This window comes from Homo sapiens, chromosome 3 (genome assembly GCF_000001405.40).
Source record: "Homo sapiens chromosome 3, GRCh38.p14 Primary Assembly".
Taxonomy (NCBI): Eukaryota; Metazoa; Chordata; class Mammalia; order Primates; family Hominidae; genus Homo; species Homo sapiens.
Window position 1 is genome coordinate 71,069,831 of NC_000003.12, and position 25,193 is coordinate 71,095,023.

Consider the following 25,193-nt stretch of genomic DNA (forward strand, 5'->3'; position numbering starts at 1 on the left):
CTGAATATCAGATAAAGGCAACTGACCACCTTTATTTAGTACAGTCAGCTTTTCCAGAGATCTGTGGTGTGCAGCAGGCCTGCAAAGAGGCAAAGGGAGCGTGTCCCATCCTGCCCTCAGAACAATGCTCACACATCTTCCTCCCATGCAACACCACCCTCCTCTGACCCTAGGTTGACACACCCTCATGTCAAAACCTTCTTTACGCCTGCCCTCTGCTGGCAAGCCTGCCAGGATTAGGAAATTTTGACTACTTCAACTTATTCAAAAGACAACTTTTAAAGCCAGACAGAGAAAGGACATGTAATGAACTATTAACTGGAATATATAAATTAAGACATTTAAACAAAATGGGGGGAGAAAGGGGGACACCCCTAGTGAAATATGGCACTTTTAATGTAAAAATGCACATTCGTCTACTCTATTGCCTCCTCGCTCACAGCAGGGGAGTGCCAAACTCGATATTTTAGCTCACCTAAGAGAACAACCTGTATTACTGTTGGGCATCTTGCCTTCTTTTGCTCACTCTCCGGGGAGAGCATGTCGGCGCATTTTCAATAAAACACCTTCTTAGCAGTAATGGGCCACTGTTCCCATTTCAGTGGTCCCTAAGGTTTCACGATACAGTATATTTGGCTGACTCGCAGTTCGAGTTTTCTTCTGGCATTCCTAAGATCCAAAAAACGGAAGAGAAAAAGCAAAAGAAGAGTACTTGCTTATCCTTTGTTTCAGTAAGAAAACAGTCAACTTTGAGACTGATTAGCTGGTAGGACTTACACAAAACAAGGGCACTCTCGGGCCCTCTCCCCTGCTACGGGAACCCTCCGCGCACGTGTGGGCCAGACTCCCAGCTGAAGGAGGGCTCTGGGCATTAGGGGGTAAATTTCTGCAGCAGCGTGCTGGGGTTTAACAGTGCAACTCCTGTCAGTGTCAATGGGAAGCACAAGGCCTGTACAAATCCCTGCATACCATTTCAAAAATATATCTCCAAGACGGGAAAATGAAGCTTAGCAGTTGCAACCTCAAAAGCATTCAGGAAGTAGCACTCTTGACAGCGCTTTAGATGCCGAGTAAATGGTCTTATAAAGAACACCCAATCCAGCCGACAATAAATCTTACACCGGGGAAGCCGGCACAGGGCTGTGGAATCCCCTCCAAGATAATTGCCTTCCACACTGTGTGGCATAGAAGCTGCTACACAGAAAACATTTTCCGGGGCTCTGCGCTCGCTATGGCTTGCTTTTCTTTCCCTAATAGTCACCAATTACACAGACACTCACACCCTGTCTTTAAGAGTGACCACATAAAAGTCTCAAGGTTTGTCTCCTTTTCTAGAAAAAAAGGTTGTAAGGCCAGTTCTAGTGGGGAGCGGGTGGGAGAGGGAGGTTGAGAACAGAGGGTGTGTTTAAGAACTCAGGAATGGAATCTGACACAGGCATCCAGGTGAGCAACCCTGGGTGTCTCCACTTTCCAGTCTTTGACGGTTCATGTAGTTTCCAGACAGCTCCAAGTACTGGGGCTCATCTACAGGCCGCTGAAGCGGTCAGCACATCTTTTCTAGTCCACAGAGGCCTCAAGCAGGCTGTTTAACTCTGAGATAGTACAGGAGTACTACATATGACTTAGGATTCTATTAATGACTTTGTCAGGAATAATAGTGTGATTGTGGGCAAGTCACGTCACCTCTCTGCGCCTGCACATTTCAGCTAAACAAAGAGGAAGATGGATGAGATCTCTCTATAATTTCTTTTTTTCTTTTTTGAGATGGAGTCTCGCTCTTGTCACCCAGCCTGGAGTGCAATGGCGCATCTTGGCTCACTGCAACCTCCGCCCCCTGTGTTCAAGCGATTATCCTGCCTCAGCCTCCCAAATAGCTGGGATTACAGGCACCTGCCACCACGCCTGGCTAATTTTTGTATTTTTAGTAGAGACGGTGTTTCACCATGTTGCCCAGACTGGTCTCAAACTCCCGACACCTCAGGTGATCGGCCTGCTTCAGCCTCCCAAGGTGCTGGGATTACAGGCGTGAGCCACTGCGCCCAGCCTCTGTAGTTTAACAACAACAACAACAACGACAACAACAACAGCTATCATTACTGGTATCCTTACACCTATCATGTACCAAGTGCACATTTTACATTAGCAAAGGACTAATCTCTAGGTATTTCCTGCTTACAATTAGGATCCTATGTAAAACTACCAGAAATAGGGCTGGGTGCAGTGACTCATGCCTGTAATCCCACTGACTCAGGAGGCCGAGAGAGGAGGATCACTTGGGGCCAGGAGTTCAAGACCAGCTAGGGCAATGTAGCAAGACCCTGTCTCTAAAATATTTTAAAAAATTAGCCAGGCATGGCATGCATCTGTAGTCCTAGCTACTCCAGAGGCTGAGGCAGGAGGATCGCTTGAGCCCTGGAGGTTGAGGTTGCAGTGAGCCCTGATCACGTCATTGCACTGTACTCCACAGCCTGGGCAACAAGAATGAGACCCCATCTCTACAATGAATGAATGAATGAAACCAGAACCACCAGAAATATGGATTAAAATTATAAATAGGATTTCAATGCTCAATAATCTCGAACACTGTCATGTCTACAGTGAGTCAGGGAACAACAACCAAAAAAATGTTTTTTGGGAAACAACCCAAAACGTTTACTGGGACATTCTCTAGGTCATAAGCCCTATGAAACATCAACAACTTGTAGTACATACAGTAAGTCACATACATGCTTTAAGACTTGGTGGATTTAGTTGAGGGGGGTCAGATGAAGACTCCAAAACAACTTGACTTCTAAACATATTTATGTTTTTTTGTGCTTGTGACTTTTTCATCCTCTTCCTTAACCACTTTGGTTCTTTTATTTCAACCATGCCTGCTTTCACCAAAAAAGATTTCTGAATATCCAACCCAGCCTCCCAAACCACTTGCTTGCTTCTGTTGGTTGCATATTGGAAAGGAGAAATGAGTTTTAAGCATCAGGTGGCTGCTACTGATAGGGGGTGCCTTTTCCATCTCAGATTGAAGCCACAGCTAAGGTTTAGACTGGATTGCAAGGGACATTTGGAAGAAAGAGTAATCTCACAGAGACATCAGACCCCTTTTGTATTAACAGTTTAATAAAGTCTTGAGAAAATGCGTCTAGCCTGCAGGCCAATTATTTATTTTTTATTATTTCAAATGGCATTTCATCCTTCATGAGGAAAAGCAGTAGATGAAGCAGGAAGCTTTCAGGTCATACAGAACTTCCCTCTTTTCAAACAAATAAGGCATTGTGTGTTTGAACAATAGGAGGAATGTCTAATTGATCTTAATTAAATTCAGCGATGTCCAATTTTTGAGATGGGTCAGAACACATCTATGTAATGTCACAACCCAACAGGCCAGAGCTTTGAAATCAGGGCGCGCTGTGGTTAACTGTTCTCTGACACCCTTTTTCATCCGTTCACCCATCCCACTGGGCTACTAACTTATTCTTCCCTCTAACTTTGTTCTCTGCTTACACCCTTCTCTATACCTCATGTGAATCCTCACCTCTTCCTGCCTTGGGGCTTATATTTTAACAGCAGCAACAGCAATCCCCCTTATCTCTGAAGTCTGCAAAGCCCTGTCAACATTCTTACGACAACCTATGAAACAAGAATCCTATAACCTCCACTGCACATAGAGAAGGCTACCTGGAGTTTGAAGCAGAAGAGATGTGAGTTTGAATCCAGTATTTGTTACTCATCAGCAATGTAGGTGAGTCACAAAAGTTTATATTATCCGCATTTCCTCATTTGTAAAGTGGGAATGATTATCTGCCTCAGAGTAGATAGATGTTTCTGTTATTATTTTCCGAGGGGGTGTCAACTTCTAAATTAATGTCTCCTGATTTGAGAGCATTGGTGTGAATATTTGATCCAATGTATCGCAAGCACACAGTGTCTAGCAAACCCTCCAATGTTGTTCACAGCTGGGGGACTCATCTGAGGTCCTTTGGCTGGTGAATGGAAGAGCTGGGATGTGACTGTGTCCTCCAGGGCTCAGTCTCTTGCATTAGGGACCCTCTTCATTTGCTGGCTACAGAGCTTGGGCAACTTTGAGACAATGCTAAGATAACAAGGACCAGAGCCACTCATGAACAGAGAGGTGCAGGAAATCCTCTAAAGAAGCCACCAATCACAAACTGGGAAGCACGTACTGTGACCCTGGCACAGGATTTGACAAAGAAAGGGAAAATGAGGGAAGGCTTGGTGCCTGGTAACAAGATGGCTGAGAAATACAGCAGTACTTATGGGAATGTGTGATGCATTTGGCATTTCCTATAGAAGTGCTTAATCCTCCAAACAACCGGATGAAGTAGGTATTATTGTGCCCACTTAACAGACAGATAAACTGAGGCTCTAAGAGCTTACATTATTATTATTATTATTTTGAAATGGAATCTTGCTCTCTCATGCAGGCTGGAGTGCAGTGGTGCAATCTTGGCTCACTGCAACTTCTGCCTCCGGGTTCAAGCGATTCTTCTGCCTCAGCCTCCCCAGTAGCTGGGACTACAGGTGCCTGCCTCCACGCCCGGCTAATTTTTGTATTTTTAGTAGAGACAGGGTTTCATCCTATTGGCCAGGCTGGTCTCAAACTCCTAATCTCAGGTGATTCACCCACATAGGCCTTCCAAAGTACTGGGATTACAGGCGTTGAGTCACTGCACATGGCCAGCTTAAATTATTTAATCAGTATCTTGAAGCCGGTCAGTGGGGTGTTGAGACTTGAATGACTCCAAAACAAGGCTTCTAATCCCATATGCCAATCTGGAGACTAGGCTTGGGGGTAAAACTAAGCCTGGAAGAACAAAGAGGCTGGTTCAGTCTTACTCCCATGGAAAATAAATGTGACCAAGTGTCACCGATTAGTCAGCATGAATGGAAGCTAAAATAACACAAAGTTAAAATTCTGATGTCCTCTTTGATTCTTACAGGAATCCACAGTGACAACCCACAACTGGGCTGGCTGGATGTGGGAGTGGGAACATCGAGGGAGTGAGACCAGGGGCTCATGCATTCTTTTTGAGTTACTTCTCCTTGATTAAGCAGTTTCTTATACTCCCATCTCCACTGCTGGAAAGAGAGACAGACAGACAGACACCGATGATCTTCTCTCATCTCCTTCCGACACATGACTGAGCACCAGGCAGAGGCCAGCAGCCTCAGTGCCTGAGTTCTCCTGGTAATACACAGTGTCTCAGATGTAAACATGAAACATCAGGGTGGTGGAGCTTATTTGGTCTCTAATCATAAAAGGCAAGGAGAGAATTCAGCATGGTGACTCTGGAGAGACACTGCCATCGGTTCTGATCCTGGTGGTACTATTCTCTGGCTGTACATTTAGTAAATTGCTAGTTTCTATAGACTTCAGTTTCCTCATCTATAAAAAAGAACTAATCTTAGTACTTCACCCACACAAGGTTTAAATGAGATAAAACAGATCAGTGGCTGGCACACAGTAAGCACTTAAAATGCTTCCTAATGTATCATTATTACTATTACTACATACCACTTTTCCTTCAATTTCTTCCTTTTGCTATAATGAAATTACAGAATCCAAAATTTATTTTAGTTTCTTAGACTTCTTATTTTTTTGTGCTGTAGGTACTGTTGATCCTCACTCCAAAATTTAACTCAGCAGCGGCAGATCCTTCAGCCAAACAATGGAAGAAGACATTTGGTTGTTTTTTAACCAGGGTCACTAGACCAAGAATCATCTACAAGAGGCAAAATAGCAGTCCCACTTAAATCTCTAGGTTGTGGTGTGCTACATACCCCAGCCAGTTCATCACTTGCATGTGGTGAAGGAGTATGGTGATTTGCTAAACACTGAGCTCTCAAGGACCCACTGGGTTTTTTTTGTTTTTTTTTTTTTAAACAAATAGGGTCTAACTCTGTCACCCAGACTGGAGTGCAGTAGCACAATTATGACTCACTGCAGCCTCAACCTCCTGGGCTCAAAGGATCCTCCGGCCTTAGCCTCCCCAGTAGCTGGGACCACAGGTATGAACCACCAGGCCTGGCTAATTTTTTATTTTTCTTTTTTGTAGGGATGGGGACTCTGTATGTTGCCTAGGCTGCTCTCGAACTCCTGGGCTCAAGTGATCTTCCTGCCTTAGCCTCCCAAAGTGCTGGGATTACAGGAGTGAGCCATTGTGCCAGGCCCTGCTGGGATATTCTAAGGTGGGGTCTCTGCCCCAAGTGTCAAGAACAATGAACTGTAGGTTGACCAACATGAGACCTAATTTATGGAATCTTCGGCCTATATTTTTTCAATGTTTTGTTACTCACGGTGGAGCCTGTCTCCAGAAAGGCTGGCTTTCAATGTAGTCCCAGCCACCCTGGCTCCAGAGAGGGCTCAGCTTGCACCCAAATAGCATCATTGTTTAACAGGCCTACTTTAAGATTATTTTTCAAGTTCCCAATACCCAACTAACTCGAAGGAAGAAATGGAAATCTATTTTCTTTTCTTACCATCATTTGATCATTTGATCATTTGCTGAATTAACAAATACGTACATACGCAGACATCAGAAAAGAAGGGCTCCTACCTTGGCCTCAGGGGGAAAAGGGAACTTGTAGAATAAGACAAGAGTTATGCTGAAGATGAAAGGATAATGCTCTGCCGTAGGGAGATGGGCAGGCAGGACCGGGAAGGGCATCTGAGCTACTGGAATGGCACGTGCCAACATTCATATGGCAGACAACATGAGTCAGAATACCAGAGAATGTGAAGGATTTGGTGTGGCTGGGGTGATTATAATTCATGCTCCAGCTCCCTTCCTTTGAGATGAATAGTTTTTCTTCTTTTTCTCAATTTCACCTGTATTTCCTATCTCAAAAATTTACTTATCTCTTCCTCTTCTCCTTCTTCCTGTTTTGAGCATGGTCTCTGTTCTTCTTTATCCATGTCATGGCCATGATTAACATGATCTCATCCAGCCTTGACCTCAGCTGGGTCAAACACACATACATAGTTTTCCTCCAAGTTAGCAGAGTTTGGTGTTCTTTACTCCTATCCTGGCACACTCTCAACTGTGATTGCTAAGCTTCTAAGCCAGAGATGTTTGAGTCAGTGGATCTCTAATATGTCTCTGGATTTTTTGAAGGGCTAATCTAACATTCACACAGGGATTGGAAACACATAAAGTTATGGAGCATGGGCTCATGGGTTAGATATTTCAGTCACCAAGTTTTTAAATAATATCACATCAGACATAGTTATCTTATTATACAATTAAGTAGAACAAAGCTTGAAGAGAGCTCACATCCAAGCAGGGGCAAACTTCTAAAACACCAAGGACTTGTATGCTAATCCTTCTTAGATGTCTAGAAGAGGAAATAGAACTCTAACAAAAACGGCATAGTCAAGGCTACCACTGACCTTTCACATGTCACTCCCATTCTGCAGCAAGGTGTCAATCCCTGAACCCTGAGGTCTCTTTTTAGTGCACTCTCTCCTAAGGCAGCCTCGCTGTACTGAAGTGAAGGTAGCTCTTGTTAATTTTTATTTACTTGTTCCTTATGACCTAAGTGGGGAGTGGGGGAAAGACAGCTAAAGACCTGTTTATAGTACAGTGAAACCGAATGTCATGAAAAGGAGCCAAGTCTAAACAAAAAGTATTCCTCTGTTAGGCAAAATTATCCTTTTTAACAGGAACGCACATACACACGAGGAGAAGAGGTCACCAACCTAGCCATCTTCCCAACCATGGCACTAAATTTGGGGTGTTCCCACTTCCCCGACTTCCTACAGCATTCACTCTCTGTGCTAGTCACTTCATCATTCCATTACATATTGAACTAGCTCATCAAATGCCGTTGTACATAACCCTGTACATACCACTCGTCAACAAAGATTTCATGAATTTATAAACAAATGAATAAACCAACGAATGAATGTTTTCTATTTTCTCTTCTTTGCCTTACTCCCCTCTCACTTCCTCCCCTCCTAAGAAGCATTTATGTTTCCTGTGCATATATTTTTTTTTTTTTGAGATGGAGTTTCACTCTTGTTGCCCAGGCTGGAGTGCAATGGCGTGATCTCGGCTCACCGCAACCTCCACCTCCCGGGTTCAAGCAATTCTCCTGTTTCAGCCTCCCGAGTAACTGCGATTATAGGCACGCGCCATCACGCTTGGCTAATTTTGTATTTTTAGTAGAGACAGGGTTTCTCCATGTCTGTCAGGCTGCTCTCGAACTCCTGACCTCAGGTGATCCGCCTCCCTTGGCCTCCCAAAGTGCTGGGATTACAGGCATGAACCACCCCGCCCGGCCTCCTCTGTATATTTTCTCTAAACTGTAAGCTCTGAGAGATGAATTGTGTGCTCTTTCTTCTTTCTCCACCTGTGGTGCGTTTCACATAGTGTTAAGGAAAAAGTAACTAAGTCCTTGCTAAATAATAGCATCTCTATAGGTAAGATGAATATTCAGTGAGAAGCATCCCTATATTGCCATGTTTAGGGACTAAAATCTTTTGATGACAATTTTATGACTGAGTGACCTCATCACGTGCAAAAAGTGCATTTGTACACAGCAATCAATGATTAGACTCTTCGAAAATTAAAAAACAAAACAAAGCTGGGTACAAACCATGATTCAGAGATTACACAAATAATAAATGTCATTTTATGGCTGTGAGTAAACTTGAATGACTTACCCTAATAAAACTGTACCTACTAAAGGTAGACAGCTACTCCAGGGTTTTAAAAAATCATCTGTTTTTCATTTCTCTTGCTAAATTTTGTTAAATGAAAAGAATCCTTCTGAATGGACATAAGACTGGAAGGGCACGAAAAGCAGTTTTTCTAAACTGCTACCAATACCAGCACATCCTGCAACTAGATAACGTTGCCCAAGGAGCTTCCACTTCATTTTGTTTTGCCTCCAAAGGCTCTTCACTGATGCAGCTAAAAAAGAGGAGGACGAGGAAAGACCCACAGGAAGACTGCAGCCCAGACTTCATTGGAGCCACTAGTCATAAATAGTGGCAACTTTAACCCTTCTCCTTGGAAGCACAAGAGCTAGTGTGACCTTTGCTTCTCTTTCGTTACCTGGATTCTGGGAACTGCAGACTTAAGAACCAAGTTCATCCCACCAGTGGATGCTATGGAACTCCTGCACTATAACAACTCCCCCACTTCCTACCACGCCCACTCACGGTTTGGTTTTGCCCCTTCCTGCTAAAGTCCTAAATAGGTTCTGGTTTTGTTTAAAGCATGTAGCCAGTATTTGGTAAGTGACAGGCAAGGCCACCCACTCTGTCTTGCCCCTGCGCCCCTCCAAATAGAGTGCGCAGAAATGAGCATGGTGGGACAGGTGTCTGCCCCTCTAGTCCAGAGGAGGACAGCAGCCCAACTCCTCATTATTCTATTAATACAGTCTGAATTCTTTGCCCCTGCCCCCCACCTAGGTCTCAACTGGCTCCTACTGGTGTTACAATCATTCCTCACTAATTGTCACATGAACTGCTGTTAAGTTAGAGCTCTTCACTCTACACTAGTACCATGGTATGGGCTTTGCATTCATGCCCATTAACGATCTTTTTTTCATTTTGATTGAGAACTTCAGCCTGCTGAGACTTTGTTCTAAAAAAATCTTCATTCTTCATCTCAGCATATTAACTCTTCCCCATCCTCCCTCGACACAGACAATTTCTATTATCTCTAAATTTCTTGGATCATATTCATCTGAGAGATATTGTGATCAGTTTTCTAAATGTGTGCACTCCAATGTTTCACAACATCTAAACTGGGGTGCTATTGTTACTATTTGACAATTAAGAAGACCTGTTCACGTCAGGGCTTATTCTCATGTATCACCCACTCCAGGTGTCGGGTTATTCCCACTTATTACCTGTACCAAGAGAGGTCCGGCCCTGCCTCCTCCTGCCACCTTCACTCAGCACCCAGCACAGTGCCTGGCTCTCAGCAGAGGCTTCATTGACAAAGGTTTTTGAATGCATAGATGAGCGAGCTTACTTAATCTTTATCATAATCCTATGAAGATTCTGTTTTCAGTCTACATTTTATAGATGAGAAAACTGAGGTCTAGAAACTTAAATAACTCACTCAGAGTTAGGCACCTGTTACACAGAACCAGCATTTAAAAATAATGCCTAGAAAGTATAAACAACATGCACAAGACACGCCAATTGCTCATTTCAGAGCAGGACCCCCAAATCAGGTCTTGTGCTTCTCTTTCTTGTGAATCACTAGTATGGACCATACCTCTCCAATCACCTCTCCTACCAGCTTTCTGTTTCTCTTTTCTGCAGAAACAGACGTAGCTAAAGAAATTTCCAAATTAAAACCTGGCAATGGTTTCTATATTCTTGTTTCCTAAACCTATAAATCAAAAGTGTCTAAACAGGTCATAAATGTTCCTCAGCAATATAATGGGAAAAGTTCTGATTTATAGTGCCGGTGGAATAATTTTAAATAATTACATAAGAGTTTTGAAAAAATGCAATTAACACCTTTAGAAGTTTTTTGAGATGAAAATGAATCTCTGGAGATGACTGTTCCCATACATAAAGATAGCCAGTTAAAAAATAAAAATAAAGCTACAAGATGCAACTGTGTCTGAAAGATCCTATGGAGACAGAGAATAGGAGCTACTATTTACAATGGGAATTCACTAGCGTGACCACATCAATAAATGTTTAACTTTGTCGCATTATTACACGATAACAACACAATCATCAAATGTACTATTGAACATTGCAATTAAATCACCAAATAAACATCTTATTTCTATTCAGCCCCAGCTGATGGCTTTCTGCCTCTGTACTGCTTTGACACATCCTACCACACTGTCCTTTGGAACACTTCAAATCCACCTACCTGCTCTTGCAAATCTGGCCAATGTTCTTCCCTTCCTCTTTCTCTTCATTTGTGATTCATCTCCTTCAGAATCCAGCCTTCTACAGATGAAGTCACTCCAAGCAACCATCCTTAACCCTAATTTCCCTGGGTATCAAAGAAAGTCTTACCATCTCTGAATTTCCTTCTTCTGGCTTAGCAAGCAGTAGTAGTTATGATTTGACTCAATGAACCCATTTCTCAAGCGCACTTAAGGTACTAACCTTTCCCTTTTGTCTCTCACTGGGTGATCTTCACTTTGGCCCATTCTACCAGCACTTTGTCTGAAACCTTTACCTCCACAGGATTTGCAACTCTGAAAGTGGCAGAAGGAGGCAACCTCCGACTAAACTAATTTTTAAAGTATATACTGCTTAACGCTAAGTGTTCTGCATTTGTGTCCAGGTTTACCTTGGATACGACACTAAACAATAATGAAGCAGAACTTGACTTTCCTCAGGGCTCCTTCAGATCCCGTGGCAATCTGAAAAGTGTTCTAACACTCCATAATTCAAAACTGAAATGGCCCAAGGTATCTCCCCAGTTCTTTCCAGCACCTGTACTCAGCTCAGTAATTACACAAAGAGAACCCTCAGCCATTATCCTGGTCATCCGAATTAAGAAAAAGACACAGAATCATAGAAACTCTGATCTGGAATAGATTTAGCGATCATCTTAATCCCACCCCCTCACTCCAGATAAGGAAACTGATGCCACGGAGGGAAACATGAAGAGCCAAAGGTCATACCTCTAAATAGTTACAGGCAGAACCGAGACCAGAACCTAAAACCTGCGACTCCTTATTAAGCATTCTTTCCATTGCTTCACGCCACCAGACAAGGAAGATACATGAGGAACCACAAAACTAAAATAATCAGCCTCCAACACTTAGAACTGCTTTGGTTGGGGGATACATAGGGAGAAAACAGTCTTTCTGTATTTGTTGGAAGGAGCAGTGCTTTTTATTTCCACTACAAATTATGAATGAAAAATACAACTAAGTATTACTCACCAAAGGCACAAGACAAGATTTAAGTCATCTTCCATGGTCACTCACATTTCACTTGTCTACTATGTAGCTAGATTTTGTCATTAACCCAGGGCTGAATTGTCCAACAGTGTACACAGTAGTCACAAATGGCTATCTAAATTTAAATGAATTACACTTAAATAAAATAATTTAGTTCCTCTAACATATTATCCACATTTGAAGTGCACAATAGCCAATGTGGCTAGTAACTACCATGCTGCAAAGTGCAGACATAGAATAGACGGTGCTGCGCTGGGCGCGGTGGCTCACGCCTGTAATCCCAGCACTTTGAGAAGCTGAGGTGGGCAGATCACTTGAGGTCAGGAGTTTGAGACCAGCCTGACCAACATGGTGAAACCTCATCTCTACTAAAAATACAAAAATGAGCTGGGCGTGGTGGCGCACGCCTGTAATCCCAGCTACTCAGGAGGCTGAGGCAAGAGAATTGCTTGAACTTGGGAGGCAGAGGTTGCAGTGAGCCGAGATTGCACCACCGCACTCCAGCCTGGGTGACACAGTGAGACTCTGTTTAAAAAAAAGAAAAAAAAAAAAAAAAGAATAGACGGTGCTGATGTCTAGAACATACTAGTCTGTGAAATGGGCATCATATGAAAGCCACCACATAAATTATAAGTTTGTAAACAACACACGTTCTCACTCGTAAGTGGGAGCTGAACAACATGAACACATGGACACAGGGAGGGGAACATCACACACCGGGGCCTGTCAGGGGGTGGGGGGTAGGGGAGGGATAACATTAGGAGAAATACCTAATGTAGATGACGGGTTGATGGGCGCAGCAAACCACCAGGGCACATGTATACCTATGTAACAAACCTGCACGTTCTGCACATGTAACCCAGAACTTAAAGTATAATAAAATAAAAAAAAAAGAAAACAACAACAACAAAAAAAAAACAGACAAAAATTGTAAGTTTATTATATAAACTTTTTACAGTAACAAGGGACTGCAGAAATATTCTAGAGCAACTTTTTCTGGTTTCTAATGAAGGAACTGAGTCCTAAAACATTTATTTATACTGCGCTCCCAATCCAGGTTTGGGATTAAACGTCGAATTGTCCAAATCTAGGAAGTGATTTTTCCGCTAACCAGCTGACTGGCTAAACAATATGGCTAGCAATATGATATGGCTCACCTCTTTAAGATAAGGAGCAAAATGTCTATATAGCACTTACTCCTCCATCTTCTAAAAGGAACCTGAGTGGCAACAAGTTACTCCTTATCTATTCTGGATCTACGTGGTTTTAAGGGAGCCAACATCATCCGGGGGATGCAGGGGTGGATATAATGCTAGGTCCCACTGATATAGTTTGAATATATGTCCCCACCAAATCTTGTGTTGAACTGTAATCCCCAGTGTCGGAGGTGGGGCCTGGTGGGAGGTATTTGGGTCACAGGGGCAGATCCCTCATGTCTTGGTGCTGTCCTCGTGACAGTGAGTTCCCCTGAGATCTGGTTAAGTGTGTGCCCCCTCACCCCCAAATCTCTCTCTCACTCCTGCTCTTGCCATGTGACATGCTGGCTCCCCTTCTGCCTTCCACCATGAGCAAAAGTTCCCTGAGGCCTCCCCGGAAGCTCAGCAGATGCTGGCACCATGTTAATGCAGCTTGTGGAACCATGAGCCAAATAAACCTCTTTTCTTTATAAATTACCCAGCCACAGGTATTTCTTTATAGTGACACAAGAACAGCCTAACACACTTACCAATCAGCACATCTCCTCCCTTCTCCACAGTGACTGGTTCATGTATAGATAAGTGACCCAAGTCACTCAATTGATTCAAGGGATTTCGCTGGAATTACTGAGCAAGAGATACTCTCTTTCTGAGGGGTTGCTAAGCTGTAAGTATGTGAAGCAGGGACTCTCAGAAGCCCTCTGGCCTCAGCAAGGGAAAAACTTGACAAAGAACGGAGCCAATAGGAAAGAAACAGAACAGAACAGAACAATTGGAACAGACCCTTCCTGATGACGTTACCTGAGTGCCTGGTTCCAGCTGGGTCTGAGGCCAGGCTAACCCTTGAACTTTTAAGCTCTGTGAGCGTACACACTCTCTCACCCCAACCCCTCATCACTTGCCAGTCTGAGCTGGGTTTTGACATTTGCATGGGAAAAAGTCTTGACTAATACAGGTACCTCCTTCCACAAGAAGATTAGGAAGTGGTCATAGTGTAACACTTCCAAACAACCTAGAAAAGCACTGCCTGAGGGAAACCCCAAATTACAAGGCACACCATTGCAGTTGCAAATCTTGGTTCATCTGATGCCATTCTGGGAGGGATTCCCCAAGTCAACCCCAACTGTACACGGCCTGTCCCAGCCATGCACCATTCACCAGGTTTCAGTTCACCACCTGTGCATTTTTCTTTCGATCACCCCAATTCACAAATTTCTTTCAAGGGTATGCCTGCAACATCACTTTGAAATTCAGTAAAGTATCTTCTATTCACCAAGCCCTGGGAATTTCTTCAAGACATTTTCACCCTCTAAAAAAAATAAAGAAATCCCCTCAAAGTCTTATGATGACCATACTATTAAGAGTTCTCAGTCCAGTGGGTTTTCACTCAAAATTCTTTCAGTGTGTGTGGTTTTTTTTTTTCCCCCAAAAACAAACTCTACAATGATTCACTGATTCCTCACCCATGGGTTTGTTTCTCATTTTTCCTGAATCTGATAGTTTATTTTTTGTTCTTGATCCACTCTGCCAAATTATGATAATCTCACTTTCATAGAGTCTGGTAATAAATGATTTAAAGGAATTCATTAGCAACTATTTTATTGTAATACATACATTCTGGAGAAATACACATTTTTCTTCATGGTGGCCTCTTTCAAGCTATCTGACTGAAATCACTTACTGAGACCAGGCATGTTAAAATATAGAATAGATTTTTCATGAATAACCTGCCCTTGCATAGTTAACACTATTTTTCAAAGTCTTTGCTTTCTCCTAAATAAAATGATTTTTTAAAATAAATCATTGTTGGCCAGGCGCAGTGGCTCATGCCTGTAATCCCAGAACTTTGGGAGGCTGAGGTGGGGGAATCGCTGGAGCCCAGGAGTTCGAGGCCAGCCTGTGCAACACAGCAAGACCCCGTCTCTACTAAAAACACAAAAATTACCTGGGTGTGGTGTTGGGTACCTGTTAATCCCAGTTACCAGGGAGGATGAGGCACAATAGTTGCTTGAATAAATAAACAAACAAATCAATCAATCAATCATTGTTTAAATATATGGATTTGGGCATAAAATAGTCATTCCTTGTTAGTGGCTGTTCATTTCTTTCACTCAAAGAATTTGCCAAAAGCCACTTATTTCTATGCATTTTCTGTCCAGCTCTGTAACAGCTTGCAACTACTTTTTTTCTTCCACTTAGCTTTTTGCTTTTCTTTTCTGAGACGAGGTCTCACTCTGTCCCCCAGGCTGGAGTACAGTGACACAATCACAGCTCACTGCAACCTCAACCTCCCATGGTCAAGCAATCCTCCCATGTCAGCCTCCTAAGTAGCTGCGACTCCAGGTGCATAACACCACATTCAGCTAATTTAAAAAAAAATTTTTTTTTGTAGAGATAGGGTCTCCCTGTGTTACCCAGGCTGGTCCCGAAGTCCTGGCCTCAAGCAATTCTCTTGCCTTGGCCTCCCAAAGTGCCTCACATCACAGGTGTGAGCTACTACGCCAGGCCCCACTTAGCTTTTTTTACTTCACCCCATTAATATTTAGTATCCCAAAGTTTCATTTATTTTCCTGTTACTGTGAAATTCCAGGTGAAGATTACTGGGCTCCTATGGCTTCAGCTTTTTACTATTAAGGAATATTATATTAGAATCATCAACAACAATCCAGTGAAATTCTAATAACATTATTAGCACCTTTCGTTAAGCGTATGTCACATGCTGTGTGTCTCTAGCTGGGTGCTTTATGTCCAAGTTTTCATTTGGTTCTTGTATGGTGGGTATCATTTATGGCCTTTTTTTTTTTTTTACATGGAGTCTCACTGTGTTGCCAGACTGGAGTGCAGTGGTGTGATCTTGGCTCACTGCAACCTCCGCCTCCTGGGTTCAAGCGATTCTCCTGCCTCAGCCTCCTGAGTAGCTGGGACCACAGGCGGGTGCCACCACACCCAGCTATTTTTTGTATTTTTAGTAGAGACAGGATTTCACCATGTTGGCCAGGATGGCCTTGATCTCTTGACCTCGTGATCTGCCCGCCTTGGCCTCCCAAAGTGCTAGGATTACAGGCGTGAGCCACCGCACATTTACGGCCATTTTATAGACAAAGAAACAAAGTTTTCTATTTTGCCCAAGGTCATGGTGGCAGGTCACGATTCAAACATGAATCCTTTGTTTCTAAAGCCTAAAGAGACTCAGGATGACATGGCTGAAAATTCTAGCATTGGAACTGCAAATATCGGATTGAAATCCATCACAACTGTATTCTTTGTAGCTGCAAACCTGAAACCAGTGTCTCATGTTGACAACTGGCCTTGCCCATGTTTTGTCCTTGGCCAAGGGGCAAAAAGAAAGCTCTGCCCTCTTTCAGACTGTGCCCATTACAGTTCTAGCTTACTTATCTAGGACTGCTAGTTAATTTCATATTAAGGAAATCTGTGAGCATCCCATGAAAGGGGATCTTCTCTCGTTCTTGCTTATGTGACAACAACATATACAAACATCATTATTATGCAATGTACCGGGGGGAAAGGGAGCACATTTGATAAATGTCATGATAATTTTATTCTTCGGGAATCTAAAATTGCTGTTGCCTTTTCTAATCTCCAGTGTCTCTAGCTGGTCCAGAGATAACGGCTCCCATCCCAGGCTAGAGACTCCATCTCTAATTTCCCCAAGTCTGTCAATGAGAGGCAGGGACTGAAATCCCAAGTTCTGTCTCACCGGATATTTTCCAGGAATGCCTCTCTTCCAAATCATCAGCGACATTTAACATGACCCTGAGCAGCAAACTTCTGCCCCAGAGGAAAGCAGAAAACCAATTTATGTAAAATTAAAAGCGATTTGCTTGATCCATCACTTGCTTCCACTCCCGTCCCACTTTCAACTGCAACACATTCAGCTGGAATTACAGGCTACCTCTTCGTCCTGCACTGGGGCATAGAATCTATCTATGCACAACCATGGAGAACAAACATTACAGAGAAAATAATGACTTTGGAAGCACCAGGCACCCTACCCAAACACAAGCTACATGTGTGTTCACAGATGGAAACTAACGGCTGTTTACCCTGAAGGCCCCATAAGAAAAATGCAGTCACCATAACAGTAAAATGCAACTTACTATTCAACATGAAACAAAGTGAGATAAAGAGAGGGCTAGGGACTGAATTCCAACAAAGAGCTCTTATAGTACCTTGGATTTCCTCGGGACAGTCCACACCATTCAAGAGCTGTGCAGGCCCTGAAGAGGTGAGCTGCACAACTGATGAGATCAAAAGACCAAGGCAGGAAAAGGGTTGCAGGTTAGCTCAGTTCTTTGTTGGGTGGGTCAGAGAACAGAACTCATGTGACATCATTTTGTGTCTTGCTCTGGAGGTGCACTTAGCAAAGCCAGAAATCCAATGTTAATTGATCAAACAACGACAACAAAATACCGGTTTTGTCTGGCAAAGGATTATGCAACATATTGATGTAAACGGCATCGAGCCGCATCAGAGGTACTCTGACCATTTCCTTGATGCAACAAATAAGGGCACGCATTCCTTGTCAGTGCATCACAAAATGACAACAAAAGTCATCCAAGGTTTCCTGTTGAGAGATGCCAGCTGGTATTGACAAAGGCTTAAGAGTGTCTTTCTCAGACCTCTGTGGTTTAGCACTTTGTCAAAACAGGATACTATTTAAATTAAAAATTTACTGATTCAAGTTCAGAAAAACCCTGCTTTGCTGTTTTTATAACCAAATTTGTGGGTGGGGAAACTTTGACCTTTATTTTTTCTTTTTTTATGACACCTTATATGGGTCTGAGAAGGTACTATATTTAGCAGGCTAGATTTGAGAACTAAGGTGTCTAAGCAAGATGACTATCACTTTCTATGAATTACTGTACATGTGAAATCATGGGCTTGTTATATTATGCAAAAGCGACTCATGTGAAACAAACAAAAATACCTGTTTGCATGTATAAGTTTTGTAAAATCTTTGTGGGGAGAGAAAGGGGAAATACACACTAGACTAGGCCACGGCATAATGTACCTCCCATGTGAATCTGGCTTAGTGTGCAAATGTATGTTTTCAGAGAAGGCTAAGCCAGGGCTGTAAGACTATGGTCAAAAAAGCAAAGCTGACGGTCAACCATAAGCAGTGCAGTGGTGAGAACCAAGATGCTGGGGAATAGATGGAGTCTCTGGAAATTGCGAAAGAGCAACCAAGCTTGTTTCTGATTGGGGGCTCTTAAACTTGCTCTTCCCCGAACCTGAAACTTTCTTCCCTAGATAGACGCAAGACTCAGTCCCTCACTCAGTCAAGGTCTCTACTCAAAGACCATTTCCTCAGAGTCCTTCCCTGGCCAGCCAGTCAAACATGGGACTGTCATCACCACGGTGTTTATCTTAATCTACTTTGTTTTCTTACAGATTTCATCGTCACACAACATGTGGTGATACATTGTTTTGTTTTTTGTTTTTTTTTTTTTGGCTTACCAGTTTAATGTCCCATAAGAATGTAATCTCCCGGCTGCTTTCTCTGCTGCTCACTCTAGGTGCCTCACTCTAGGTGTCTAGGTCAACACAACCACCCAATAATTTGTCAGATGTTTGTTGAACAGGGAATCTCATGAACAGTCTATTTGAGTTGCGTAAAGGATCTCATTATTTTTCTTGAACTTTCACCTGTCTAGCTAACTATTTATGGGAAAGGTACTAACAAAGTCATTCCAATGATGTCAAAGACTTCTGAGACACCAGAGATGCAGTTAGATATAAATATTAAACTACTTATTTTGCCTTAAAATCACTCTGAGATTATCTTTGAAGGTCTTACAGCTTTGAGAATATGCAACTTCCCATTGTTTAGGGGGAAACGCTGGAGGAAATTTGCATAATTTGAGAAAGAAATCGAACTCACCAAATACCTTAGTGCAGTTCATCTCTTTTGTCAATCTCTCTTTCTTATTAGTACAGGCAAATCTTTTAGTGAAGTGAATAATACTTTGGCCAATGACCTTACGCCAAGAGTACACCAGTGCTCAGGTCACATTTTGACCTTTCTTCCATCCAACATAGCTGAAGGATATGACACTTTATAAACAATTACACTGACTTGCTCTTACTCTGATTCTAAATAGGGCTAATGAGGAGGTTGGAATCAGTGGCACCCAACCTCCGAAACAAGCCCCAAAGATTCTCACCATTTGGTATTCATGCCTTGGATAGTACCTTCCAACACCATGTCAGGGCCGGTCTCTGTGACCAATAAATATGGCAGAAGTAATGGTATGTGATTTCCAAGGCTAGGTCACAACTTGGATCACTCTGGGAAAAGCCAGCTGCCACATCACAAGGGCACTGAAGTCACACTATGGAGAGGTCCACAGCCTGAGAACTTGAGGCCTCCTGCTGACAGCCATGTGAGCGAGCCATCTTGGAAGCGGCTCCCCTAGCCCCAATCATGCCCCAGCCTCACATTTTGACTGCAATCTCATGAGATGCTATGAGCCTGAACCACCCAGCTAAGCCACTCCCCTATCTCTGACTCACAGAAAGTGTGTAAAAGAATAAATGTTTAAACTGTAAGACACTAAGGTTTGGAGTAAATAACAGAGTTATCCAAATCTGATCATGAGGGCAGTTGCATGTCATCTGGCTTGCACACACTTTCTTCCTGCAGGAACACTCTTCCCTGCCCCATCCTTGCCACATGGGGATCACTACTACCCACAGTCCTAGTTAAGAAAGAGGAACTCTAATTTTCACAAGGCAGCCAGTTTAAAAAGACATCAGTCTATAATCAGGGTACAAAGATACAAAGAAATCAAGAATTCCAAAATGCCTGGGCTCTAGCTGGGCCACTATAGCGTGCTGTTGCCTTTGAGACTCTGAGGTGAATCTGTTCATGAAACCTTGAGCCACTTAGAAGAGGGATAGACAGCAGACAGGCAGGCTACTGAAATGAGTTGAAGTCCATGGCAAAGTGGGAATGGGCAGCATTTCTCTGCTCCAGATAACTGGTGCTATGTATATTGCTTGAACTTCTGATTTTTTTCTTTTTTAGGAGATGACAGAAAATGAGATTTTCATGGGAAATCTCCAGATTTTTTAAATCTTTGCAAAGAAAAAGAAAGCCTTCAAAAAGTTCGAACCAAAAAAAGGTTAAATGTTGTGTGCATAAACAAAACAGTATCTAGCCTGCGGGCCATCAGTTTGCAATCTCTAATGGGGAATCAATTCCTTACTTTCTTCAACCTTGCTCCCATCATAAAACAAATCTCTCGATTCCTATTTTCAAGAAATTTCATTTTCTAAGCTTCTTTCACATTTTTCTTGGATATTCCCATGTTTTTCAACTAAACAGTACCTCCCTGTTTGTAACAGAGTTGTCACGATGGCTGTTAGAAAACATTTGCCCCGTTTTTCATAAGTGCAGTATGTAATGTGATAATACAGAAGTGAAAGAACAAGTCTCCTGCAGGTGTGAGGAGAACCACCCTTGGGGGGAAAAAGTAACAGGGCAATGAAGAGTAACAAATTACTCAGTCCCCAGGAGAAGCAAGTCAACTCTAACTAGAAGGCTTGATGAAAAGATAATTTTATAATCCATGCTTCCCTTCCCAACACATCAAGACACAATAAAATGAGCATACTCCCTGATCTTCTTTGCATATATGTAACTATAATGTCAAATAAAAAATAACTGTGCAACTGCCTCCTTAAGAGTGCAGGGAAGAACTAGGAGGGGGTCAGAGTGGGGAAGCATGATCATTGCACTCTGTCTTTTCTTCTCAGCAGTTGCACTGCCATTACAGGAGAGCTAGGGTCCTGCACAGAAGACCTACAGAAGTGAACAATTCACTGTAGAATTTGCAACCCATCTGGCATATATCAAAGATTCAGAGACGATAACATAGGTATATGATAACATAGGTATGGCCATTCTAAATGCACTTCGCTCTGAAATGCATAGGGGGTTGACAACTGCCACTCTCTGCCCATCTACTACCATCAGAAAGCCTCAGTATTATATAAAATTCAATTTTTTGTGTGTCCAGACCACTGTAGGATCTCACAAGTAATAACCCAAACCAACATCATCATAATATAATGATCAGAACAACAGCTATAAGAAGGGCAGGTAACATTTTGAGCTACAGGTGCCAGATTCTGTGTGTGTGTGTGTGTGTGTGTGTGTGTGTGTGTATTCTTAAATTAATCCTCTGAATTAATCTGCTGGGTAGACATTTCTACTTTATAGAAGCTCAAAAGTGAGCTTTAGCCCAGGCACGGTGGCTCACGTCTGTAACCCCAGCACTTTGGGAGGCCAAGGTGGGTGGATCACCTGAGGTCAGGAGTTCGAGACCAGCCTGACCAACATGAAGAAACCCCGTCTCTACTAAAAATACAAATAAAATGAGCTGGGCATGGTGGCACATGCCAGTAATCCCAGCTACTTGGGAGGCTGAGGCAGAAGTGCTTGAACCCGGGAGGCGGAGGTTGTAGTGAGCCGAGATCGCACCACTGCATGCCAGCCTGGGTGACAGAGCAAGACTCCGTCTCAAAACAAAACAAAACAAAACAAAACAAAACAAACAAACAAAAAAAAAACTGAGCTTTACTTGGACAAGGTCCCAGAGATGGTAAATGATGGTTTTTAGAATTTGGGTCTATCTACTCCAAAGAGTTACCAAATTAAGCTTAATTGTCTCATCAATATCTCAAGCTCAAGATTAAGGGTAACCCCAAGCTTTTTCCTAACCAGTTAACATATTCAACCAATGAATGTAATGCTATGACATTATGAGTCTAAAATAAAATATAATTCTCAATTATAGAATTATTAATAAAACAAAGACCAATAAACTTCACAGCTGGGAGAGAGGTATGAGAAACACAACTGTAATCAACATTTGGAAATAAGAAACAAAGTTCAAGGATCTGGCTTTTACAAAAGCCAACAGGAAAATCACGATGTAGGCTGAGTGCCATGACTCACGCCTGTAATTCCAGCACTTTGGGAGGCCGAGGCAGGCAGATCACTTGAGGTCAGGAGTTTGAGACCAGCCTGGCCAACATGGTGAAACCCCGTCTCTACTAAAAATACAAAAATTAGCCGGGCATGGTGGCACACGCCTGTAGTCCCAGCTACTTGGGAGGCTGAGGCAGAAGAATCGCTTGAACCCAGGAGGTGGAGGTTGTAGTGAGCTGAGATCGCACCACTGCACTCCAGCCTGGGCGACAGAGTGAGAGACTCTGTCTCAGAAAAAAAACAAAAAACAAAAAAAAACAAAATTAGCTGGGCATGGTGGTGCACGCCTGTAATCCCAGCTACTCGGGAGGCTGAGGCAGGAGAATCGCTTGAACCTGGTGAGTTAGGGAGGAGGTTGCAGTGAGCAAGATGGCATCACTGCACTCCAGCCTGGGTGACAGAAGGAGGCTCCATCTCAAAAAAAGAAAAAAAAGAAAACCAGGATGTGCCAGTCTGTGTCTCTAAGAGGGAGGGCAAGTACAGAGACCCTTGTGGGACCCTAAAATCAGTATCAGCGGAAACTGAAGGTCACGTTCCTCCCCCTCAGATTGAGGACAGGAGGAGGCTGGTCTGTGGAACCGAAGCAAACCTTAGATGGAAGGAAACTTTCAGAGGAAATGATTTAAGCTTTTTTGGTAAGTAGGGTATTTTTCAAATTCTTTTAGAAGTTCTTATTTCCATCTTAAGCCTGCACAAATAAAAATAATTGTCAGTTTTCAAATGTGAGGGAGGGCGTTTGGCTTATTTTCCTTCAAACTTCCAGGTCTTGGGAGTTTTTCTTATTTTGAAGGAAAACTTGAGCTCCCACAGAGAAAATGGAGGCAGTAGATGTTCCCAGAGATGACTGGAGTATTGTCTTACACTGGTAGCAATACAGTAAAAGAAGGATATAGAGAGACACGTGACAAAGAGTTGCACAGATATACTTTAGAGATATATGAAGACACCACATTAAAAGAGATTAGTTCTTGATTTTTCATCAGGAAGACATATTTACCAAATGCTTTAAAAGGCAAAAAAGCTCAGGCGTGGTGGCTCACGCCTATAATCCCAGCCCTTTGGGAGGCCAAGGCAGGCAGATCACCTGAGGTCAGGAGTTTGAGACCAGCCTGGCCAACATGGTGAAACCCCGTCTCTACTAAAAATACAAAAATTAGCCGGGCATAGTGGCACACGCCTCAGCTACTTGGGAGGCTGAGGCAGAAGAATCGCTTGAACCTGGGAGGCAGAGGGTGCAGTGAGCCAAGATCGCACTAGTGCACTCAGCCTGGGCGACAAGAGCAAGACTCCATTTCAAAAAATAAAAATAAAAATGAAAAAAAAAAAAATTAAAAAAAGCAAAAGAACATTCTAGATAGCACTGTCCAATAGATCTTTTCACAATGATGGAAATGTTCTATATCTGCATTAATCAAAATAATAGCCACTGGCCACATATGGCTATTTAAATTTAAATTTATTTAATGTAAATACAATTTAAAAATCCAACTCTTTGACTGTACTAGCCACATTTCAAGTTCTGTTCCTGTGTGTGTTCCCAGTTTAGGAACAGAACTTGAAATGTGGCTAGTACAGATTACCTCTGTTAGTACATTTATTACATCATATTATAATTCTCTGTTCAGTTTCAACTGTGATATAAGGACTAAGAAATATGCAATTCTCTACTTCAGTACTAAGCAGGATCGGTACACTACAGGCACATAATAAATGTTAGAATGAGGATAAGTGAATAGATGGATGGATGAAAGAATCACTAAGCCTCTGGTCTGTTCTCACATTTACTTCCCAGAGGCCTTGCTCTCAGAATCGCTATGTCATTTACACCAAACTTTAAAACCAAATGAATCCTATGATTATAATAATATCAATAAAGATCAAAATGAGACTTAGATATTGTTGATGGTGATGGTAACGATAAAAATCAATAATCTTCTCATGAGAATGCTGTATTCTTGCCTCTCAGTAACATTGTTCTCTATCAGTTCCCAAACATTTTGGTAAGAAAGCTGTTTTCTTGTTTTTCATGTGTTTTTCCCTATAAATTCAGTAAGTTTCTAGATGCCCAAGCTCCTTCTCCCAAAGGTGTCCTAGAGACCAAACCTGAACTTTGAAGCCAGGGGCCAAAAACTTTCTCTATAAAAGGCCAGAGAATAAATATTTTAGGCACTGCAGGACGCACAGTCTCTGTCGCACCCACTCATCTCTGCTGAAAGCAGCCATAGACAGAAAAACAAGTTCACAATGGCTGTATTCCAATAAAGCTATAGTTGTGGACACTGAAATCTGAATTTCATATAATTCCCTTTTTTTTCTTTTCTTTTTTTTTTTTTTTTTTTGAGACAGAGTCTCGCTCTGTCGCCCAGGCTGGAGTGCAGTGGCGTGATCTCAGCTCACTGCAAGCTCCGCCTCCCAGGTTCACACCATTCTCCTGCCTCAGCCTCCCGAGTAGCTGGGACTACAGGCGCACGCCACCATGCCCGGCTAATATAATTTTCATGTTTCATGAAATATTATTCGTCTTTTGATCTTTCCCCAACCATTAAAAAATGTAACAATTTTCTTGGCTCCTCAGTACTATAGAAACAAGCTTCGGGGTTTGGCCCATGGGTTTACAACTGCCAACTTCCATTCTAAGGCCTGTTTCCTGATCATGTGCTTCCCACTAAAAGTTTCAGGTCACAGAGTCATAGAGATATCCTGAATCTAACAGAAACTAATTGCTTATTGTATACAACAGATATTCAATAGCTCTACAGTCCAGCAGTTCCAGAGGCCAACCAGGAGCCACACCAGGAAGTGTTGGTTTGGGGACGGGGAATGGTGGAGATGAGAGCTATCCTTTATTCACCCACCTACCCCTGGTGGCAGCTCCAGCTGTGGTCACCATCAGCTGAGCAGACAGATGAAGCCTCAGCTGGTCTCAAGATCCTTTTATAAACCAGTTTTGTCCAGACTTCTATTAGTCAAAATCCTGATCTACATAAGAGTTTCTGCAAGCCCATTAATTATGCCTTTGATCTGCAGTTACATTATCTTCAATTAAGCATTAATATATTGTGTGT

The 25,193-nt window shown here is 42.6% G+C and overlaps 1 protein-coding gene and 1 long non-coding RNA gene across 17 annotated transcripts in view, besides 2 other annotated features; one reads left to right on the plus strand and one right to left on the minus strand.

Moving 5' to 3' along the window:
- Positions 1-25,193, minus strand: part of FOXP1 (forkhead box P1) — a 629,271-nt gene that overhangs the window by 115,123 nt on the left and 488,955 nt on the right. The window lies entirely within an intron of this gene.
- Positions 3,390-18,885, plus strand: LOC124906247 (uncharacterized). Its single transcript, XR_007095956.1, has 2 exons — positions 3,390-3,739; positions 4,959-18,885. It is a non-coding gene; the product is annotated as an uncharacterized LOC124906247 (long non-coding RNA).
- Positions 9,204-9,786: an enhancer, noted in NCBI's record as "OCT4-NANOG-H3K4me1 hESC enhancer chr3:71128185-71128767 (GRCh37/hg19 assembly coordinates)". NCBI's record gives its function as "activates a minimal SCP1, AML or CMV promoter by ChIP-STARR-seq in primed H9 embryonic stem cells {active_cell/tissue: H9 hESC(primed)}" and the evidence as "EXISTENCE:reporter gene assay evidence [ECO:0000049][PMID:30033119]".
- Positions 18,014-18,113: an enhancer, noted in NCBI's record as "active region_20059". NCBI's record gives its function as "activates an Ori minimal core promoter by ATAC-STARR-seq in GM12878 lymphoblastoid cells {active_cell/tissue: GM12878}" and the evidence as "EXISTENCE:reporter gene assay evidence [ECO:0000049][PMID:35858748]".